The sequence below is a fragment of the Homo sapiens genome, chromosome 12 (assembly GCF_000001405.40).
Source record: "Homo sapiens chromosome 12, GRCh38.p14 Primary Assembly".
Lineage (NCBI taxonomy): Eukaryota > Metazoa > Chordata > Mammalia > Primates > Hominidae > Homo > Homo sapiens.
This window is the reverse complement of record NC_000012.12, coordinates 88,159,449-88,178,517: the sequence shown is the minus strand read 5'-3', so window position 1 is coordinate 88,178,517 and position 19,069 is coordinate 88,159,449. Positions and strand designations below refer to the sequence as shown.

At 34.2% G+C, this 19,069-nt stretch overlaps 1 protein-coding gene across 6 annotated transcripts in view; it reads right to left on the bottom strand.

The window, feature by feature from the left end:
• TMTC3 (transmembrane O-mannosyltransferase targeting cadherins 3) overlaps positions 1-19,069 on the bottom strand; it is a 57,581-nt gene that overhangs the window by 21,370 nt on the left and 17,142 nt on the right. For 5 of the 6 annotated variants that reach the window (NM_181783.4, NM_001366579.1, NM_001366574.1 and 2 more), the window contains 6 exons: positions 18,289-18,404; positions 17,667-17,839; positions 11,936-12,188; positions 5,773-5,921; positions 3,791-3,911; positions 2,199-2,310 (listed from right to left, as the gene is read on the bottom strand). In NM_181783.4, the coding sequence (NP_861448.2) occupies positions 2,199-2,310; positions 3,791-3,911; positions 5,773-5,921; positions 11,936-12,188; positions 17,667-17,839; positions 18,289-18,404 (924 nt within the window). Of the gene's footprint in view, positions 1-2,198; positions 2,311-3,790; positions 3,912-5,428; positions 5,553-5,772; positions 5,922-11,935; positions 12,189-17,666; positions 17,840-18,288; positions 18,405-19,069 lie in introns of all 6 variants that reach the window. The other variant, NR_159381.1, reaches the window with a different exon arrangement.

The window sequence follows — 19,069 nt, the reverse complement described above, 5'->3', positions numbered from 1 at the left end:
AAAATTACAAATATAGGAAAGATACAGAGGAAGTTAAGGGGTTTTACATATGAAAACTATTTGCTTACAGCTGGAAAGATAGGAAGAGTTTTTACAAGAGAAGTCACTGGAAAATGGGAGGAAAGGGAGAAGGGAGAAATTCTAGTCTCAAGGAAGAAAATAAAGGCAAAGAAGTAAGGAAGTACAGGACATTAATCCCACATTCCAAGAAAAACTAAACTACATGAAGGGCTAAGAGAGATAAAACTGAAAGGCTAGACCATCAGTTATATTTTCACAACTTTTTCTTCACCTTTCTCTAATTGAAACTTAGCTTTGTTTTGGAGACATGGTTACCTTTAGCCCTTTCAAGTGGTGACTGTGTTCTTTTCTATCCTTTGCCACACTGGGCCTGGGGGAAGAACAGGTATCTTCTTCCTTGATCCATGTTGCCATTTTTGGACAATTCTCTCTCCTTTTTACCATACTCATGTCTGATTGTAATTTAACTCTATTATCTGCTATTCTTATCAGTGTTGTAGTCTTTGATTCCTGGATCACAGACCCTGGCTCCCTGTTGCTTTCTCTAACATTACTTTTGTCAAAATTCTTAATGATTTAGTGATTTCATAATCCATATAGATATTAATCTTTGAATACTGTGGTCTTGATGACCTTTTTTCCAAATGATTTTCACCTCCTTTCTACCTTAGCCAGTTAGTGCAGTGGTCATAGTTGTACTTACTAGAAAAAAACAACAGTGTCTGACACTCTGCACCCCTTCAAGGATATTTAGTAATGTGCAGGGGTTTCTTTTTGGTCATCACTCTGAATGGAAAATAATGATGGCATTTGGTGGATGGGGGGCCATGTCTAGTACATATCCTGTAATACAGTTCTGCACTCAAAACGCCAATAGCACTCCTGTCGAAAAATACTGCTGCTCTAGCTACATCCTACTCAGAAACCAACAATTCCTCAGATCCACTGATCTTGTTACCTTTCCTCCATCCCTCATCCTCTCTCACATCCCTTCTTAACCAGCTTAGATTCTGTGGCTCATCATTTATTCACTCCTTAAACCCTTTCTTGATGAGTAATACACAACTGAAAAAACTTTAATCCTATTTAACAGAATTTTCCATGTCTATGCCATCACTATTATAGCTAAAAAGTTGCAACAGAAAAACATGTAACTATTTTTTTTTTTTGAGACAGAGTATATCACTCTGTCACCCAGGCTGGAGTGCAGTGGTGCGATCTTGGCTCACTGCAACCTCTGCCTCCCAGGTTCCAGCGATTCTTGTGCCTCAGCCACCTAAGTAGCTGGAATTACAGGCGCCCACCACAATACCTGGCTAATTTTTGTATTTTTAGTAGAGATGGGGTTTCACCATGTTGCCCAGGCTGGTCTCAAACTCCTGACCTCAAGTGATCTGCCCACCTTGGCCTCCCAAAGTGCTGGGATTACAGACTTGAGCTACTGTGTCTGGCCCAAACTGGTTTAAAAAAGCCAAAACCCTCTTATCTTACCATCCTTTCTTGACCACATACCCAGCACTGCCACCATTTCTTATCAACACCCTTCAAAAGAGTTTTCTATACGAATTGTCTCCAAGTATTCTTTCCCCATTCTCTTAAGCTCACTACTATCAGGCTTTTGCACCCATCATTCCACCAAAACTGCTTATCCATATCCATGCCACACAACAACTCTATGTTAAGAAAAAATCCATAAATGTTTTTGTTTGTTTTTGAGACACAGTCTCACTCTGTCACCCAGGCTGGAGTACAGTGGTATAATCATGTGATCATAGCTCACTGCAGCCTTGAACTCCTGGGCTCAAGGAATCCTCCCACCTGAGCCTCCCAAGTAGCCGAGTTTACATGCCCACACCACCATGCCTGGCTAATTTTTTAATTTTTATTTTGTAAAGACAGGATCTTGCTTTGTTGCCTAGGCTGGTCATGAACTCCTGGTGTGACCCTCCTGTGTCAGCCTCCCAAAGTGCTGGGAATACAGGTGTGAGCCACCAGCCTGGTAACAGAGTCTGATATTAAGTGGCTGTTATATGTAATCCAGTTCAAAATAAGCACTGAACTCTAGTATTCAAGTCACTCAGAATAAAGCTAGTAAATAAACTACCTTATTTCCCCCAAGGATAATCAAAACTTTTTAAAAAATAAAATTCATGATTTTATTAGTTAATAATGCTTACCTGGCTGAACATGGGTAGCCTGTAAGAAGTATTTCAAAGCTCTCTCAAAGTTCTTTTCATTTTCCAGAGCATGACCCACATTATTCCAAAGTTTGGCATTATTTTTATTTACCTTAAATACAAGCACAGATAGAAAAAGTTACAATTAAAAAAAAATGACTCCAGTTCATACAGATATTTGTTTGGTATACTATTAAGAAAATAATGTTCTATGGAAATGTCTCTGGGGATGACACAGGAGTCAAATAAAGACTGCTTCACCAAATTTACTCTCCCTGAACCTGAACACCAACATACTAAAACCACAGCAGTGTCTTATTTCATTCACGTTATATATTAACATTTTACTGAAAATGTTATTTGATGAAAGCACAGTGGTGTTTCAAAACTTCTGCTCTGCCATTTGTATTTTTAGGAGCAAAAGCACTGGAACATGAGAATATGTTTAAATGTTGCACTGATGACTTATTTTTAGACTTGACATATTTAAAATTATTTATGTAGTCCATTATGGTAATGGAAAACCTGAGATTAAAGCTCTGAGTCAATCTGTGCTTTCAGAGTTCGCAGATTGCCGTAGTGTTCTTGCAGATAGATGACACCTAGCCAAGGAACTAATTGCAGTCGTTGTGGCTATAGGTTCCAACCACTGTCCTGGGAGTGAGTATAAGCAAAATTCTGGAAAATTATGGGGCTCCACTGGTATCCTAGGAGTATGGATTAATAAGCATGGTAATGAGGTCTCACTTGTTGGCAGACTTCTGAGTTGGGAGAGAGAGTAGAGCTACTGAGTTGTATAAGAAGAGACTCATCTGATCTTAGGGAGATGGGGAACCAAGAAATCACACAGACCACTGGAATGAAGCAGCAATCCAATAAAGCTAAGTAATGAAGAGTTAAGAAACAGTCCAAAGGAAGTAAAAATTCAGATATCTGAAGAGGGGTACTGGTAAGGGAGAGCTTGAAAAAATCTTTGCGGATAACCTTTAAAGAAAACAAATTTTTGTTTTTTAAAAGACCTTTTTCCGATTTATAATGTCCATTCTATAGAAATCTTGATCCTTTCTTTCTGCCAATTCTTATCTTTCTGATAGTATTGTAACCACTGGTTATCTTCCACATCATTGGGTGCCTTTTTTTTTTCGCTGTACATTTTATTTTACTGAATTGATGCCATCGATTATAACATCATTATTTTAAGTACCATTAAGAGAGAAAAAAGGCCACTAATTTAAGATGCTTTTCACTGTAAGACTTATTTGATTTCAGAGATATAAAAAAGGAAAAATATAAGCACCTTTAGAACCAATGAAATATAGTATTCTGATTTAAACATTGTGTCATTTGAGCTTCCAATAACTGTATAGCATTTAGGGAATTATCATATATGCTTTGGACATATAGCTAAGTATTATTCAGAGCATTTGGTTATGGCATTATGTTAAACAACAAATTATTTTCATTAATCTTTTAGTAAAGTACTTAATATTGACTGTTAAATGTCTAATTAAAAACAAAGTTAAAACAGCTTAGAAATTGTTCCAAGAAATCACTGATGACATACTTTCCTGTCATTCTGAACAACACTTTACCTTCAAGGCTGACATAAACAATGTATATTCAGACTCCCAATCCCAATTTCTGTGGAATGTTTTTAAGGAATGAGTGAGTATCACCATAGACAGACAAATCCAGGATAGCTTTTTAAATACACTGTTTAAGAGAAAAAAAGCAAAACAAAAAAAATTGTCTTCATCACCAAAAGCATTTTACCTTTTAGAACAGAGGTAAGAAGTATCTTAAATGCTCCTAAAATATCATATGTTAATTTATTCTAATTCATTCTAATGAACACCCAACTTTAGAGGATACAACACCAAAAAAATTAAATACTGTGAATATGACCTTCCAGTCAATTACATTATATATGCTAATATTGGCTATATTTCAAAAGCTCTGTTTAAAATAAATGATAAAAAATGGAAAAAACCAATTTTTAAACGTGACTTTTTACACTTACAGTCCTTTGTGCCATTTTCTACAACTGAGTATTCTTAATTGAGTTTAGAAAGGGGTCAACCTTATCACTGATCACATTTGAAAATGTTTTACTTACAATTTATACCAAGACTATCATGATATTTTTGGTTTATTTCTCTATTGTAAAGCTAGAATTGTCTATTAACAGGCATAGTAAAAGTGACTCTTCATTAAACAGAGGCAAATTACTTATACAACTTTAGGTTAATTATTTGAGGGCTCAATTCTTCACCTATAATCTTTATGATCTTGTTTAGTATTAATAGTCTCTGAGTCTGTGTTTTTGTTCCTGTAACATGGTTTAATTTATTTCATTTTGATAGATCCACTTAACTAGAACACACAAGTATGGATGTGAAAGAACATGGTCATTGGAAGCAGTCAGATGTGAATCTGAAACAAGACTGTTATTTACTAGCTGTGTGATCTTGGATAACCTATATGGCTTCAATGTTCACATCTGCAAAGCAGACTTAAGAAGTGTCAAGATTAAATGAGAAAAGAAATCTAAAGTGTCTATCATGGCCCTTGGTACATGGCAGGCATTCAAAAATGGGTAGTGATTATAAATGGATATATGGGTAAAAGCTAAGAGAACAGGTTTGGTAGATGGCAGTTAAATATTGCAGACAGGGATGAGATTATCTGTGGAACACATGCGGTGTGAAAAAAGTGGCCATAAGACTTTGAAAAATGTAAATATTCAAAGAGCAGGTGCAGCCAGAAGAATTAATCAGGACAAATACTTTTTACAGACACTAGGGAAATAAACTTTAAATTAAAAGAGTTGACTTAGTTTAGCTACTAGGAGGCACTTTGTTATATGCTTAAGGGTGAAGTGGAGAGAAGTCAGAATTCTGTGGGGTGAGGGATGACTGGAAAATAGGAAAGTGAAAGAAGTGACTATTTCTTTTTCAAGTTGCAAACTCAATATTATTACATTAGTATTACTTGACCTTTAACAATTTGCTTGATTTGATAATTTTAGTGCCACAGCATAAGTATACAATGAGATAATACCTATAACAATTATAGTTCCTAAGCATATATACAGTGTGACTATGCTGTTCCTTAACTGTTAGTTTGAGGCAACTAGGATACAAAGATTATAATGAAGATAGTGATGATAGCAAGAAATTACAGATTGCTTACTATATGCATTTTATATATATTAACTCAATATGACTCACTTAAGTAGGATGACTATTATCTTAGTTCACTGAATATGGAAGTGGCAATGGTCATTTGAGACTTTATTCTCAGTAACATCCTTGTTTTCATTTGGATCTGACTCAAAGTTTGTTCTGTCTCAGGCTGTAAAATCAAATTACATAAATATAGGGAAGAACACAGAATAAGTAGGTGCCATGGAGCTTTCCTAACTTGACTTACAAGACAAATGAGGAGACTATGGAGATGAAAAACCAAAAGATACAAAAGCATGACTTAGAAAACTGAACTAAATATTTAAATTTTAAAATGTGTCACACTTAATTCCATAGTAAGCATTACATGAACTGACATTTAAATTCACCTTTTTGTTGATATTTTCTGCCATCCATGGGCTACCAAAATACAGAACCCCATGCTGGGAACATATAATACTCGCTCGGCAACAACAAATCCAACTGGAAAAAAAAGGTTCGATGCAGGAATAAATGGTAATGCCATTAAACAAAGCGCCTACAAAAAAAAAAAGAAGATTTAATAATTTATAATAAATTTAAAATAATTTATAATAAATTAAGAAATATATGGGCATCTGATACTTGAATCCAAATATTTTATCATTTAACCTGGATAGTGTACTGCTAAACTATTTTTAATAATACTGTGAAGAATATTAATTTAAACATAAAGAAGGCAACTTAGACATTAACAAACATCAGGATGTACGTAAGCAAGGTGAAATGGAAATCTTGAATTCTAAAAGTTAAAATTAGAGGATATCTATGAACTTTGAAAACAAGATTTCTAGGTGTGTTTGGGAGTGATTACTCCTTGAAATTAAAATCTAAACCATTACAGCATTTTAAATTTGAGAAGCATAATTAGCTATATCTCACTGGTTTTCTGTAAAGAATATGCTTGCATAGTAAAATATAAAAACTTTAATAAATGTAAATATTCACATCTTTAAGCAAAAATTAAACAATAAAGGTTCATCCAGTTAAATAGTGGAAGTACTTTTTGAAATTCTATCTAAAATAACACACTCAAACAATCATAAGAAAACAACCCAATTTAAAAAATGGGCAAAGTAGCTAAATAGATATTCCTCAGAAGACAACATGCCAATGGCCATCAAGTATATAAATGTTCAACATCACTATCATTAAGGAAGTGAAAATTAAAACCACAATGAGATGTCATCGCACACCTGTAAGAATGGCTATTATCAAAAAGTCAAAAGATAACAAATGTTGGCAAGAACGTAAAGGAAACACTTGCACACTGTTGGTGGGATGTAAATTAGCATTGCCATTAAGCAAACAGTAGGAAGGCTTCTCAAAAAATTAAAAATAGAACTACCATGTGACCCAGCATCCTCACTACTGGGTATAGATCCAAAGGAAATGAAGTCAGTATGTTGAAGAGAGATCTGACCTCCCCTGTTCATTGCAGCATTATTCAATTTACAATAGCCAAGATATGGGAACAACCTAAGTATCCATCAACAGATTACTGGATGAAAAAAATGTGGTACATATACACTTTAGAATACTATTTAGCCTTAAAACAGAAGGAAATCCTGTCATTTCTGACATGGATAAACCCGGAGGACACCATGTTAAGAGAAATAAGCCAGCCACAGAAAGACAAACAACGCATGATCTCACTTGTATGTAGAATTTGTAAAAGTTGAACTCACAGAAGTACAGTACATGGTGGTCACCAGGGTTGGAGGGAGAAGGTTGGGGAGAGGTTGGTCAAAAGGCATAAAACTTCAGTTAGGAGGAATACAAATTAAATAAATAAAAATTTTACACATCTAACTTATGTGCGTGTGGTAAAAATAAGATGATAATGAAATATGCTAATAGGTTTTTCAACAAAACAAAACCACAAATGCTGATTAAAAAAAAGCTAAACATGTCAGTTTTTACAACTTTACTACTTTAAGAAACCACATGATATTGGAAACTGAGGGAATGAAATCAGGTGTCGTTCAGACAAGATAGCAGACTACTGTACCTTAGCATTACTTCACATAACATCCTGAAAGGTTAAATGTATTTAACTAGAAGCTTAGTGTATGCATAAAAATAAAACTGCCCCCCTTTAAATCAACAGTCTTTCATTCTACAAGAATTTCTAAAATTATTAATATAACACTGAACATTGAAATGAAACATCATAAAAATGTTTAGATTTCTTACCATTTTGAAAATGGGATGACATGTGGTTTCCACATTATACACCCATAAAAAACTAGCACATAAATAGCTTGTGAAGGAAATAAGTTTGGTCGTTATTAGGAAATCTGTTTCTATGGACATCTGCTTCCATATTTTGTTACCCCGATTTGTTTTACAGTACTTAATTGAATAAACAAGTTAAACCTTTAGCTTCACAAGTTTGAGACTCTTCTAATGGGCTAAGGTGAAAGAATGTCCTTTTTTTCTATTTGACTTAATTTGTGAAATATAGAGGTGTATACATTGAAAAGAATACTCTCCACAAATGTTCACACATTAATGATTTGTAATAAGGCAACACTGAATCTGAGGAAAATCACTACCATCAAACTGGTCACCATCATACCAATTTATAGGTCTGACACTTCAGTTTTTTTAAATCAAAAAGGTAAGAATAACTAAGAGTGCATAGAATTCACTTTCCATTTCCCAGAGATGCTTGACAAAAATAATCAGCAAAAAATGTGAAACAGATAAAGAAAAGTTCCTGAATATGTATGTAGTTCATTGAAAAAAAAATTATACCTATTAATTCATGGCCGCCCCAAGGCAATTTCACTTGAGGGAATTAAGTGTTAAATTCACTCAAAAGTGTATTGTAGACTGATGCATAAACTATACAAAACAAAAAAAATCTCTCAGGAAAAATCTATAGGTTCTGGGATAAGAAATGTCTCTAATGATTAACTTATTCACAGGTCCTAATATGCTCTCTAATAATGTATGCCAACCTAGTTAACTATCACTCTCTTGTAATTTCCTTCTTCCAGTAGCATAAACTGTCCTTAAATGTTAGGATATTAGTAGAAAGAGCAAAGAGTTCGAGACAAATCTGCTTTACTTCTCATTTCCTACATACGGCAAACCACTCAGTCACCTCCAGAGTCTTTCTTTCTTTTTTTCTTCTTCCTTTTTTTTTTTTTCTGACAGGGTCTTGTCTGTCATCCAGGATAGAGTATAGTGGCATGATCATAGTCTACTGCATTCTTGAACTCTTGGGCTCAAGCAATCCTCCTGCCTCAGCCTCCCAAACACCTAGGACTACAGGTATGCACTACCATGCCTGGCTAATTTAAAAATTTTTTTTAGAGGTGGGATCTCACTGTCTTGCCCAGGTTTGTCCCAAACTCCTGGCCTCCAGTGATCTTCCCATTTCTGCCTCCCAAGGCACTGGGATTACAGGCATGAGCGATTGAACCCAGTTAGTTCTTTACAAATAAAATGGGGATTAATAACAACTTACATTATGCTGTTGACATATATATGACATCTTATCTAATAAGTGCTTAACATGGTATCTGGTAGGTGCTCCTTTGTTCTACTTATCCCTTCCAGAGATCTTCAGAAAACATCACCATAAAAAAAATAGCACCTTTATTAGGACTATACTGAAAATAGAGTTATGCTTAAGGCCACAGCTGTTCCATTTTTATATACATTTAAAATTCAGCTTACATTACATACACCATTATTTTATTTGCTGAAACCTTAATTCCCCTACCTCTCCTTTTTTTTTAACCTTTCTTTTAGGAAAACTCCAGCTTTAGATGTATTCTACCGTTTATTTCTTTTGTCTGTATTTACCAGAGTGGCAACGCACTGCTAGAGAAAGTCCCAAAGCTGAACAGATTAATACTGTCATAAAAGCATGAGCACCAAGTTCAAATTTATCCTTAAGACTGTTTGGGATTTCTAGGTTTCTCTGGAAAGTTCCTTCCACTCTTCTTGACTGCTTTGAATCTTCACTACTTTTCTCAAATTTTTGACCCATGTCAGTTTTAGCAGGCAACTACATTTCCTAATTTACAATGAAAGCTGAAGCCATAAAACAAGAATTTCTTTAATTTCCTGCTACTAAACCTACCAACATCCACATTCATTTCTTCTTGTAACATAAGGGGTGTCTCTTCTATCTCAGGCCAAACCTGTGCTCCCTATCTCCTGCTCCTCATAAACTTCACTAACAATTATCCCTTCTCTAATTTATTAACCACTTTCTAATCAACTGTATTCTTCCTATCTATATTTAAACATGCTCTTGTCTCTCCAGCCTTAAACATCTTTAACAATACATTTTTTAAGCTACCTTCCCTATTCGTTACATACCTCAGGTACAAAACAAGTTCTCATGATCTTAGGAAAAGATTTTGTTGCCATAGTATCAAGTAGCCCACTTAACTAATCAACTTAAGTCTACCACTTAACCAATCAACATTTCAGCTTAATAAATATGTTCCTGCAAGCCAACCCATCAGGGATATCCGCATTCAAAAAAGTCAGCTGAGTAGCTGAGTACGCCAATAAAAATGCTTCTATATGCCAACCAATCAACAGTCTCTCCCTGACATTGCTCCCTCCTACCTCTGAAGGTCTACCAATGCCAGATCTCAATGCTTCCCCAGGCCCTACATAAGATAAGCAGTTTGTTATACTTGAAACCATTGCCTGACCAGCATAGTCTTCCCTTAGGGAGGAATTAATCAAGTTTATCCCATCCTTTGAAACAGTCAAAGTTAAATTATTCCTACAGGTCTATACTAGCTCTCTTCACTTCCTCATCAAATCACTCACTGCACATAAACAAATTTCATTTAAGTACCTACAGACTAAAAGAAGTCCAATCCAACAGATTCTAGATCTCACTTTCCCCCTCAAGAGCATCTGTTAGTGTTAACCATTTGGTCTGTAATACACTTTCCTACTTTTCTCTTCATTCGATATGTCTTCTATTCAGGATCCTTCTCTTCAACATCTAAATATAGGAGTTTCTCAAGACCTAGTAGTAGGTATCTTCTCTTTTCACTGTATTTAGCCCACTCAACTGTTTTCTGGGGAGAATTAAGACCAAATACCCTAAGGCTTCCATTATGAGTATGAGTGAACTTCTGTGCATCTAGAATGTTAACAGCTACCATCTTTGACAGAATTGACAAAACCCCAGTTGAGAAAGGCTGCTCTATAACCTCATCTACATTTCACCTTATCTACATCCTGGTTTCAATTACCACCTCTATGTTAATGGATAAGATTTCTATGTGTAACTTAACTATCTTCTATGAACTCCAGACATAAAGTGCTGTTCAAAATGTCCAACAGGATGTTTCAACAGTAATGCAAACTCAACATGTTCAAGGATAATAGACAACACAATCTTTAAATCTACTCTGTATCTCAGACATCCAAATTTCTCTAGAATGTAAGTTCTCTGGAAACGTGAACTGTGTAAGTTCTCTGGAAACGTGAACTGTGTATTTACTATCATAACCTCAGCACCTAAAATGCTGCACTGTACAAAGGGTAAAGTCTAAGTTTTTATTGAATGAATAAATCAATCTAGCAGCTACAGCAAAAAATTATGTATCTGCAATTCATTAAACATACTTTCTGACATATAATAAATGCCTGAGAAAATGTACTATTGTCTTCAATAAACTTTTATTTTTATTTTTGTTTTTTTGAGAAAGAGTATTGCTCTGTCGCCCAGACTAGAGTGCAGTGGCGCAATCTCAGCTCACTGCAAATTCCACCTCCCTGGTTCAAGTGATTCTTGTGCCTCCGCCTCCTGAGTGGCTGGGATTACAGGCACCCACTACCACACCCAGCTACCCAGCTAATTTTTGTATTTTTAGTAGAGACGAGAGTTTCACCAGGTTGACCAGGCTGGTCTCAAACTCCTGGCCTCAAATGATCCACCTGCCTTGGCCTCTCAAAGTGCTGGGATTACAGGCAAGAACCAACGCACCCAGCCTGTCTTCAATAATTAAAAGGGAGAGAAAACATAACTCTTATGAGTATGAAGTGACACAGGGTAAGAAAATAAGAAGAAAAACAGTACAGAAAAACCACCACCAAAAAAAAAAAAAAAAAACTGTTCAAATAATCAGAGTTCTCCGAACATAGTGAAAGCTATCTAAGGGAGTAATAAAAACCACCTTGCTCATGAGAACTGAAAAGCTCTATATTTCTAGTTGTATATCTTATATGATGTTCTTCTCTGTGCCAAGAAAACAAATAATATACAATATAATCAATTTCTTCAAAAAGTGTATAATCTAGTTGGATAAAGGTAACAAATATTTTATGTGCTGAACATATGTCAAATTATGCCTGCAAATTAACTGAGAATTTTGGGATAAACTCAAATACGTTTATAAATTGGGATGCCGTTGAACAAAGAAAGGAGTGCTTCTAAAAAGATGCTTTTGCTGAATTAAAGGTAGTTTCTTACTTATTCAACTGAATGTTAACATCATTTGGAAGTTAAGAAAAGTTTCTTACCATTAAAACAGTCTTGGAGGAATCACCAGAGTATCTGATACTGAATACTCCCAACATCCCCAGAAAACAAAAGAAAGTAAATGTGGCCAGATTTCGAATATCTAGTAATGACTCTATAAGTGGTATTGTTCCCATGGTCCAATCACAGCAGAGCTCTGAAGGATTTAATAACAACCAAGCATTCACAGGAAGGAGGTAGTTAAAAGTTAGTTGCCTTGTAGGAGTTGGGCTTACAGCAGCTGGGTTATCAAACCTGTATAAAGGATTAAAAAAAAGATTACAAATAAAACTTTTAAAGTACAGAATTATTTACATAAGTAAAACACTAAACAATAAACATTTTATATATCATCTTATTAAACAGAAGACACAGACAAATGTTATGTGTACCTCAGACTCTTGCTAGAGTTCAAACTATCAAAACTTTATGAAACATCTACTTCAGAGAAGTGATATTTATGAAGGACTGTTTGAAAGGCAAGCAGGTCATCCATTTCTGTTTATTATTAGAATAATTCAGACATGCATCCTATAATATTACAACACTGCAAAAGTGTTCCATTAAACCTTTTGATTAAAAGTAGTAACAAAAAGTTGTATAAGATTTATGGTTGTATGTGTTGTATGAATCACTTTTGAAAACACTCACCAATGCTTTCCTACATGAGACATTTCTTTTAGAGCTAAATGCTAATTAAAAATTATGCTTCCTGGAAAAAATTCGTATATTTTTCTTCTGTCATGGAGAGAGAAAACCATATCACCTAGCTTCCTTCCCTCTTTTCTTTGACTCCTAGGAAGCTAAAAACCAAATTTCTAGTACAAAGTAGTAACTGTGTAGGCCTGTGTAAGAATTTGTGTTCTACTTTCTCTCTTAGTAAATACTAATATAAGCTTATATCATAGTTTATCTTTTCCCAGGCCACAACATATATACATTTCATTAGTTTAGTCTGTGTTCTAAATTATATTGGTTATAATATATAGTACTTAAAAGACCCATTTTCTCATTTTAAGATGAGTAAGCCAAGGAAAATCAACTACTGCCACTTATTTGACTTGATTTTCTGAAAACATATCAAATATTTGATAAAAATAAATACTATTTGAACAAATAATATCATTTCAAAATTTTCATACGGAATCTCACAACTTACATATTATTTTTCAGATAAAATAATAAATCTTGAGTCTGAACTTGAATTCTCAAAATAACCAGCAGAACTGAATAAAAAGTTATCTTTTTGCCTATAATTCACTATTCGGAATTTAGTTTTAAAAATTACAGTTTATTTAGGATAGCTGATTTAAAGAAAGAGTTAATGTCAAAATAAATCAAATTATATTAAATCCAACTTCAGAGGGTAATAGAATTTATACACACATACACAAACATATATACACAATGTTGAAATGCTTTATTTGGAAAATATTTATATGCTATAAGCACCATATTCATACCTACTAACACATACATAAATTCACACCTATAAACTATATTTTTAGACTGTAGATAGGGAAATAGAAAATAGTTGATTCAAATTCTCTAAAAGGAATAACAGAAAACCAATGAAACTAAGAAGGAAATCCGAAGTCTTATATAAACAATTCAATCTTCTCTATTTCCAATACTGTAATATCTGCACAAGTTCATTTTAGCACGGCTAGACTCAGAGATAAAAATCCAGGATATTAACAAGTAATTATTCTTTAAAGAAAAAAAAATGCTAGGGAGGATAGTTATGTGAAAATATCACACAGTTTTGGGTTTAAAAATTATCTGAATAAAATTTATTCTACCCAGCGCCAGCAATGCACGATCATGTAACATAATGTGAATAACATGTTGGCCTTTTGTTAAAAATAAAAGTTCTTGCATGTAATGGCAATAACTTAAAATTGAACAGGGAAATAGTATAAATTTCATTTTAAATTTTAGCCAAGTCAGGTGAAATGAAAAAAGGCTAAATGTTAAAGTAGATAAATATGATATGCAGACTTAAAATTCACTATATCTTCTGCTTTCTAGCCTTAAACAACTAAAAAACTGTATAAGAGGTATAATTTTTTTTTAAACATACTGAGCATAAGGTGAAAAAGGACTGTAATACCTGAGAGAAGAAAAACAAATAAGGGGAGCTTTTTCTGGAAAGAGTTTAGTACCTGGATAGAGTTTTTAGTCAGTAAAACAGCAAGAGGGAACCCAGGCTGAGCCCAGTGGTATACTGAATTGAGAGTATGAAGTTGGGAGCCCTAGGAGTGCGGGGGCTAGAATTAGTGAGGAAGAATCCAGACAGAAGAAAGCTGCTGAGAAAGAGAACCTGAGACATCTGTAGAGGGTCTCTCTCCAGTTTTCAATATTGATGAGTTCTTTTTTTTTTTTTTTTTTTTTTGAGACAAAGTCTTGCTTTGTCACCCAGGCTGGAATGCCATGGCACAGTCTTGGCTCACTGCAACCTCTGCCTCCCAGGTTCAAACGATTCTTGTGCCTCAGCCTCCCGAGTAGGTGGGATCAGTCGTGCACCACCACGCTGGCTAATTTTTCTATTTTTAGTAGAGATGAGGTTTCCCCATGTTGGCCAGGCTGGTCTCAAACTCCTGACCTCAAGTGATCACCTCAGCCTCTCAAAGTGCTGGGATTACAGGCGTGAGCCACCACACCTGGCCTGATTTTGATGAGTTCAAATCAGCACATATATGTGAGGAAATACCCATGGTCGGTGTAGTGGGTTGAATCATATTTCTAAAAAATTCATGTCTACCCTAACTTCAGAATGTGGTGTTATTTGAAAATAGTTTCTGCCAATATTAGTTAAGATGAGGTCACACTGGGTTAGGGTGGGCCCTAAATCCAACGACTGGGGTCCTCATAAAAAGAGAAGAAAGAGATACACTGGAAAAGAAGGCAATGTGAAGACAAAGTAGATTGAAGTGATGGAGTTACAAGCCAAGGAATGCCAAAGACTGCTAGCAACCACCAGAAACCAGCAGACAGTTATGGAACAAATTCTTCCTTAGAGCCTCCAGAAGGAACCAATTGTGCTGACATACTGATTTGGTATTTCTGGCCTCTTGAACTGTGAGGGAACAAATTTCTGTTATTTTAAGCTATTCAGTTTGTAGTTATTTGTTACAGCAGCCTTCAGAAAACTAATACAATCAGGCAAAAACCTCCTGAATGCATTAGAGCTAAAAATTCCCAAATATACCGAGCCAGGAATAGTTCCTCGGCAGACAGTGTGGAAATCTTCGTAATTTACAGTTCACATCCAATAGTCAAAAAGATCTTGCATCAGTAGTGAAGTGAAATTAGTCTTATCCTAAATGCTATTGTGGTCCCACAAAACAAAGCTTAAAAGCAAGACTGGGCTGGGTGCAGTGGCTCATGCCTGTAATCTCAGCACTTTGGGAGGCTGAGGTGGGCGGATCACCTCAGGTCAGGAGTTCAAGATCAGCCTGACCAATATGGAGAAACCCTATCTCTACTAAAAATACAAAAATCAGCTGGGCGTGGTGGCGCATGCCTGTAGTCTCAGCTACTCAGTAGGCTGAGGCAGGAGAATCGTTTAAACCTGGGAGGTGGAGGTTGCGGTGAGCCGAGATTGCGCCATTGCACTCCAGCCCTGGGCAACAAAAGCGAAACTCTAATCTCAAAAAAAAAAAGAAGAAAGAAAAAAAGCAAGACTGAAAGATAAAACATTTTCCAAGTAACTTAAATGCATTCCAGAATAAAACTCAAAATTTATAGAATACATTAAGGTAAAATTCACAAATGGTATCTGTTCAACAATTTCCCGACATGCAAAGAAGCAGAGAAATACAACCTATAATGAAGAGAAAATTTATTCAATAAAAACTGACCAAGGAATGACACAGATGATAGAATTAGTAGGCAAGGACATTAAAGCAATAGAACATGTAGAGATATAGAAGATATAAAAGAATACTCAAATCAGACTTCCTTCTGAAGATGAAAACAGATTCAGAGGTAAGAAACAACTAGATGAAATTAAGAGTAGATTAGATATTGCAGAAAAAAGATTAGTGAACTTGATATAGCAAAAGAAACTATCCAAACTAAAAATGGTAAAAGATTGAGGGAAAAAAACAGAGCATCAGTGCAACAACTTCAAGAAACTTAAATATACTTAACTGACATACAAGAAAAATAGGAAAAAGAAAAGATGGCAAAAATATTTGAAGACTAGCTAAACATTTTCCAAAATTTTTACAAAATTAAAATCTACAGATTTCAAGAAGCTCAGTTTACCTAAGCACAAGAAACATAAATACATAAGAAACAATGGTAAACAGGAAATATTAAAAACAGGCATAGAAAAAATACACATAACATACATTAGCATAAAGAGATAAGGATGATAGAGGTTTTCCCACTGAAAACAATAAAAGCCGGAAGACAGTAGATTTACATTTTCAGAATACTGAATGAAAAAGCCAGTGTAGAATTCTCCACCCAGAGAAGGTATCTTTCAAAACCTGATATTTTTAATCAGAAGTGCTAAAGAAATTCCTTCAGGTAAAAGGAAAAATAGTACCAGATAAAAATCTTATCCAACAAAGGAATAAAGAACACTGGAAATGGTGACTCATGGTTAATGTAAAATACTTTTTTATTATTTAAATTCCTCCAAGACAATTGTTTAAAGCAATGTATGTTCAAGGAAAACATATGCAAACTGCACAAAAGTTAAGTTCTTACATATATAAAATGTATATTACATATATTTATACTATATATACACTGATATTTTTATTTTATATATATATTCGAAATTAGAATATTCCTTGAAGGTAAACTGTGATAAGCAGAGGATGTTCTAAAATCCCTAAAGCAACACTAAAACAACAAAGATTTATAGCTAATAAGCCAACAAGGAGATAAAATGAAATATTAAAAAAAGAATCCAAAGGAAGGTGGAAAGAGAGAAAAAAGGAACAAAGATTAGATGAGACAAAGAGAAAACAATTTTATCAAGATGAAAGATTTCCATCAAACTATATCAATTATCAAATTAAATATAAATCAATGATATATCCCATCTAAAAGTCAGATTATCTGACCAAACAACAAAAGAAGACCAAATTGTATGGATGCTACAAGAAATCCTCTTTATAAATAAAAGCATAGACAGGTAAAAAGTAAAAAGATGGAAAAAGATACACCACCTAACACTAACGAAAGACAGCTGTGATAAGAAAAAGTGAATTTCTGAGTAAAGACTATTACTAGGGATGAAGCTCATTTAATAATGACAAAGGGATCAGTTCCTCAAGATGACTTGACAATCCTAGTTGTTTACGCACCTAATAGCAGAGCTTCAAAAACGCACAAAACAAAAACCGACAGAAGTGCAAGGAGAAATAGCGAAATCTACAAGTATAGTCAGAGATTTCAACATCTCTCAGTAACTGACAGAATGAGTAGACAAAAATCACTAAGGATATAGGAGACTAAATTAACACTAACCTTAACACTTAACCAGTTTGGGATGGGTCATTCATTATCTTTATTGTGGGGGCTTTAAGGGTGTATACATATGTCAAAAATTATCAGTACATAAATTTTAAATATATGCAGTTTAAAAAATGTTAATTATAGCTTAATAAAACTGTTAAAAAACAAAATAAAATACTTTCTTCAACATTTATGATCATTAAAATCCAAAGTTAAAAAAAAGAATGGAGAAAACAAAGAACCAGAATTTCATACCTGGTGAATACTGGAAGTTGGGATTGAATAACCTGGACTCTAATCACAACAAGTAATAATGTACTGAACATCAAGACAATGAGTTTTACTAGTGTCTGCAGCATAGAAAATGGAATGCTACCCTTTCCACGGAGAAACTGTCCAGCAGTAGTACATAGTAATGGCAAAGTATACTGAAAAAGAAAAGAAATGTTTTAAGCAACAAATAACGACATATCTCAATGTTTTCAATACTGTAGTACTTTCTAATTGCAAGATTAGATACAAGTATAATTATAAAATTAATGTGGAAGAATGTGTGAAGCTAATAATGAATAAAACTGAGCTCAACAGTCTTACCTAATAATGAATTATACTGTACAGTACTATTGCATACTTTTCCAAGCTGCCTAATGATTCCATTATTGAAATTTAAAACACAGTTCTTAAAACACTTAAAGTATCATAAAATGTTAAGTAATTTTCAGTAGGTATGAGGATAAAACATGATTTCTGGTATTATTATTGGTAAACACATTAATTTACATAATGATACATTTAGAAAATAAAAATAAATAAAATTTGATTCAACTAGGATAAAATATATCAATAAGAAAATTTATATATTTATAGTTTGGCTTACCCCCTGGGCAATAAACACTTCATACACACAGCAAATTCCTACAACTGTTATTCCTTGTTCTTTACATAATGTTGCAACAGCCACTAAAAACACTGTCAAGGCAATTGGAGTCCATACTGCAATTTGAGAACAGAAAATATAAAAATTCAGAAAACAATTTTATAATATCAAAAAAAGATATTTTAAACTTTGTGATTCCATATCCATATGAGTGCTATTTCTCATTAATTAGTAGTACATACTTTAAAATATACTTAAATTTAATAATTTTTACTTTATACATTCAAAGCAAAATATCAACATGTATAATTTGAACTGAAATTTTTTACAAAGAGAAAAATTATTTCATCAAATACTAACTTTTAAAACAAAGGTAGGGTGGTGAATTTGGAGAAGAGAAATTTACAGGTTTGTGTGTCATAATTAATGAGCTATCATTCTGAAATGAAGACAAATTCCTGAAATTATGACAGATATCTTTATACCTTATTAAACTGATAAATTATTAAAAACTTAAAATTTAAAAGTATTGGGAAAAGTAGGGTACTATACTTTTTTTTTTTTTTTAAGACAGGGTCTGGCCCTGTCACTCAGGCTGGAGTAAGTACAGTGGTGTGAACATAGCTCACTACTGCCTTGAATTCTGAAGTTCAGGCAATCCATCTGCCTCAGCCTCCCAAATAGGACTACAGGCATGTGCCACCACATCTGGCTATTTTTTTTTTTATTTCTGTAGAGACAGGGTGTTGCTATGCTGCTCAGGCTGGTCTCAAACTCTTGG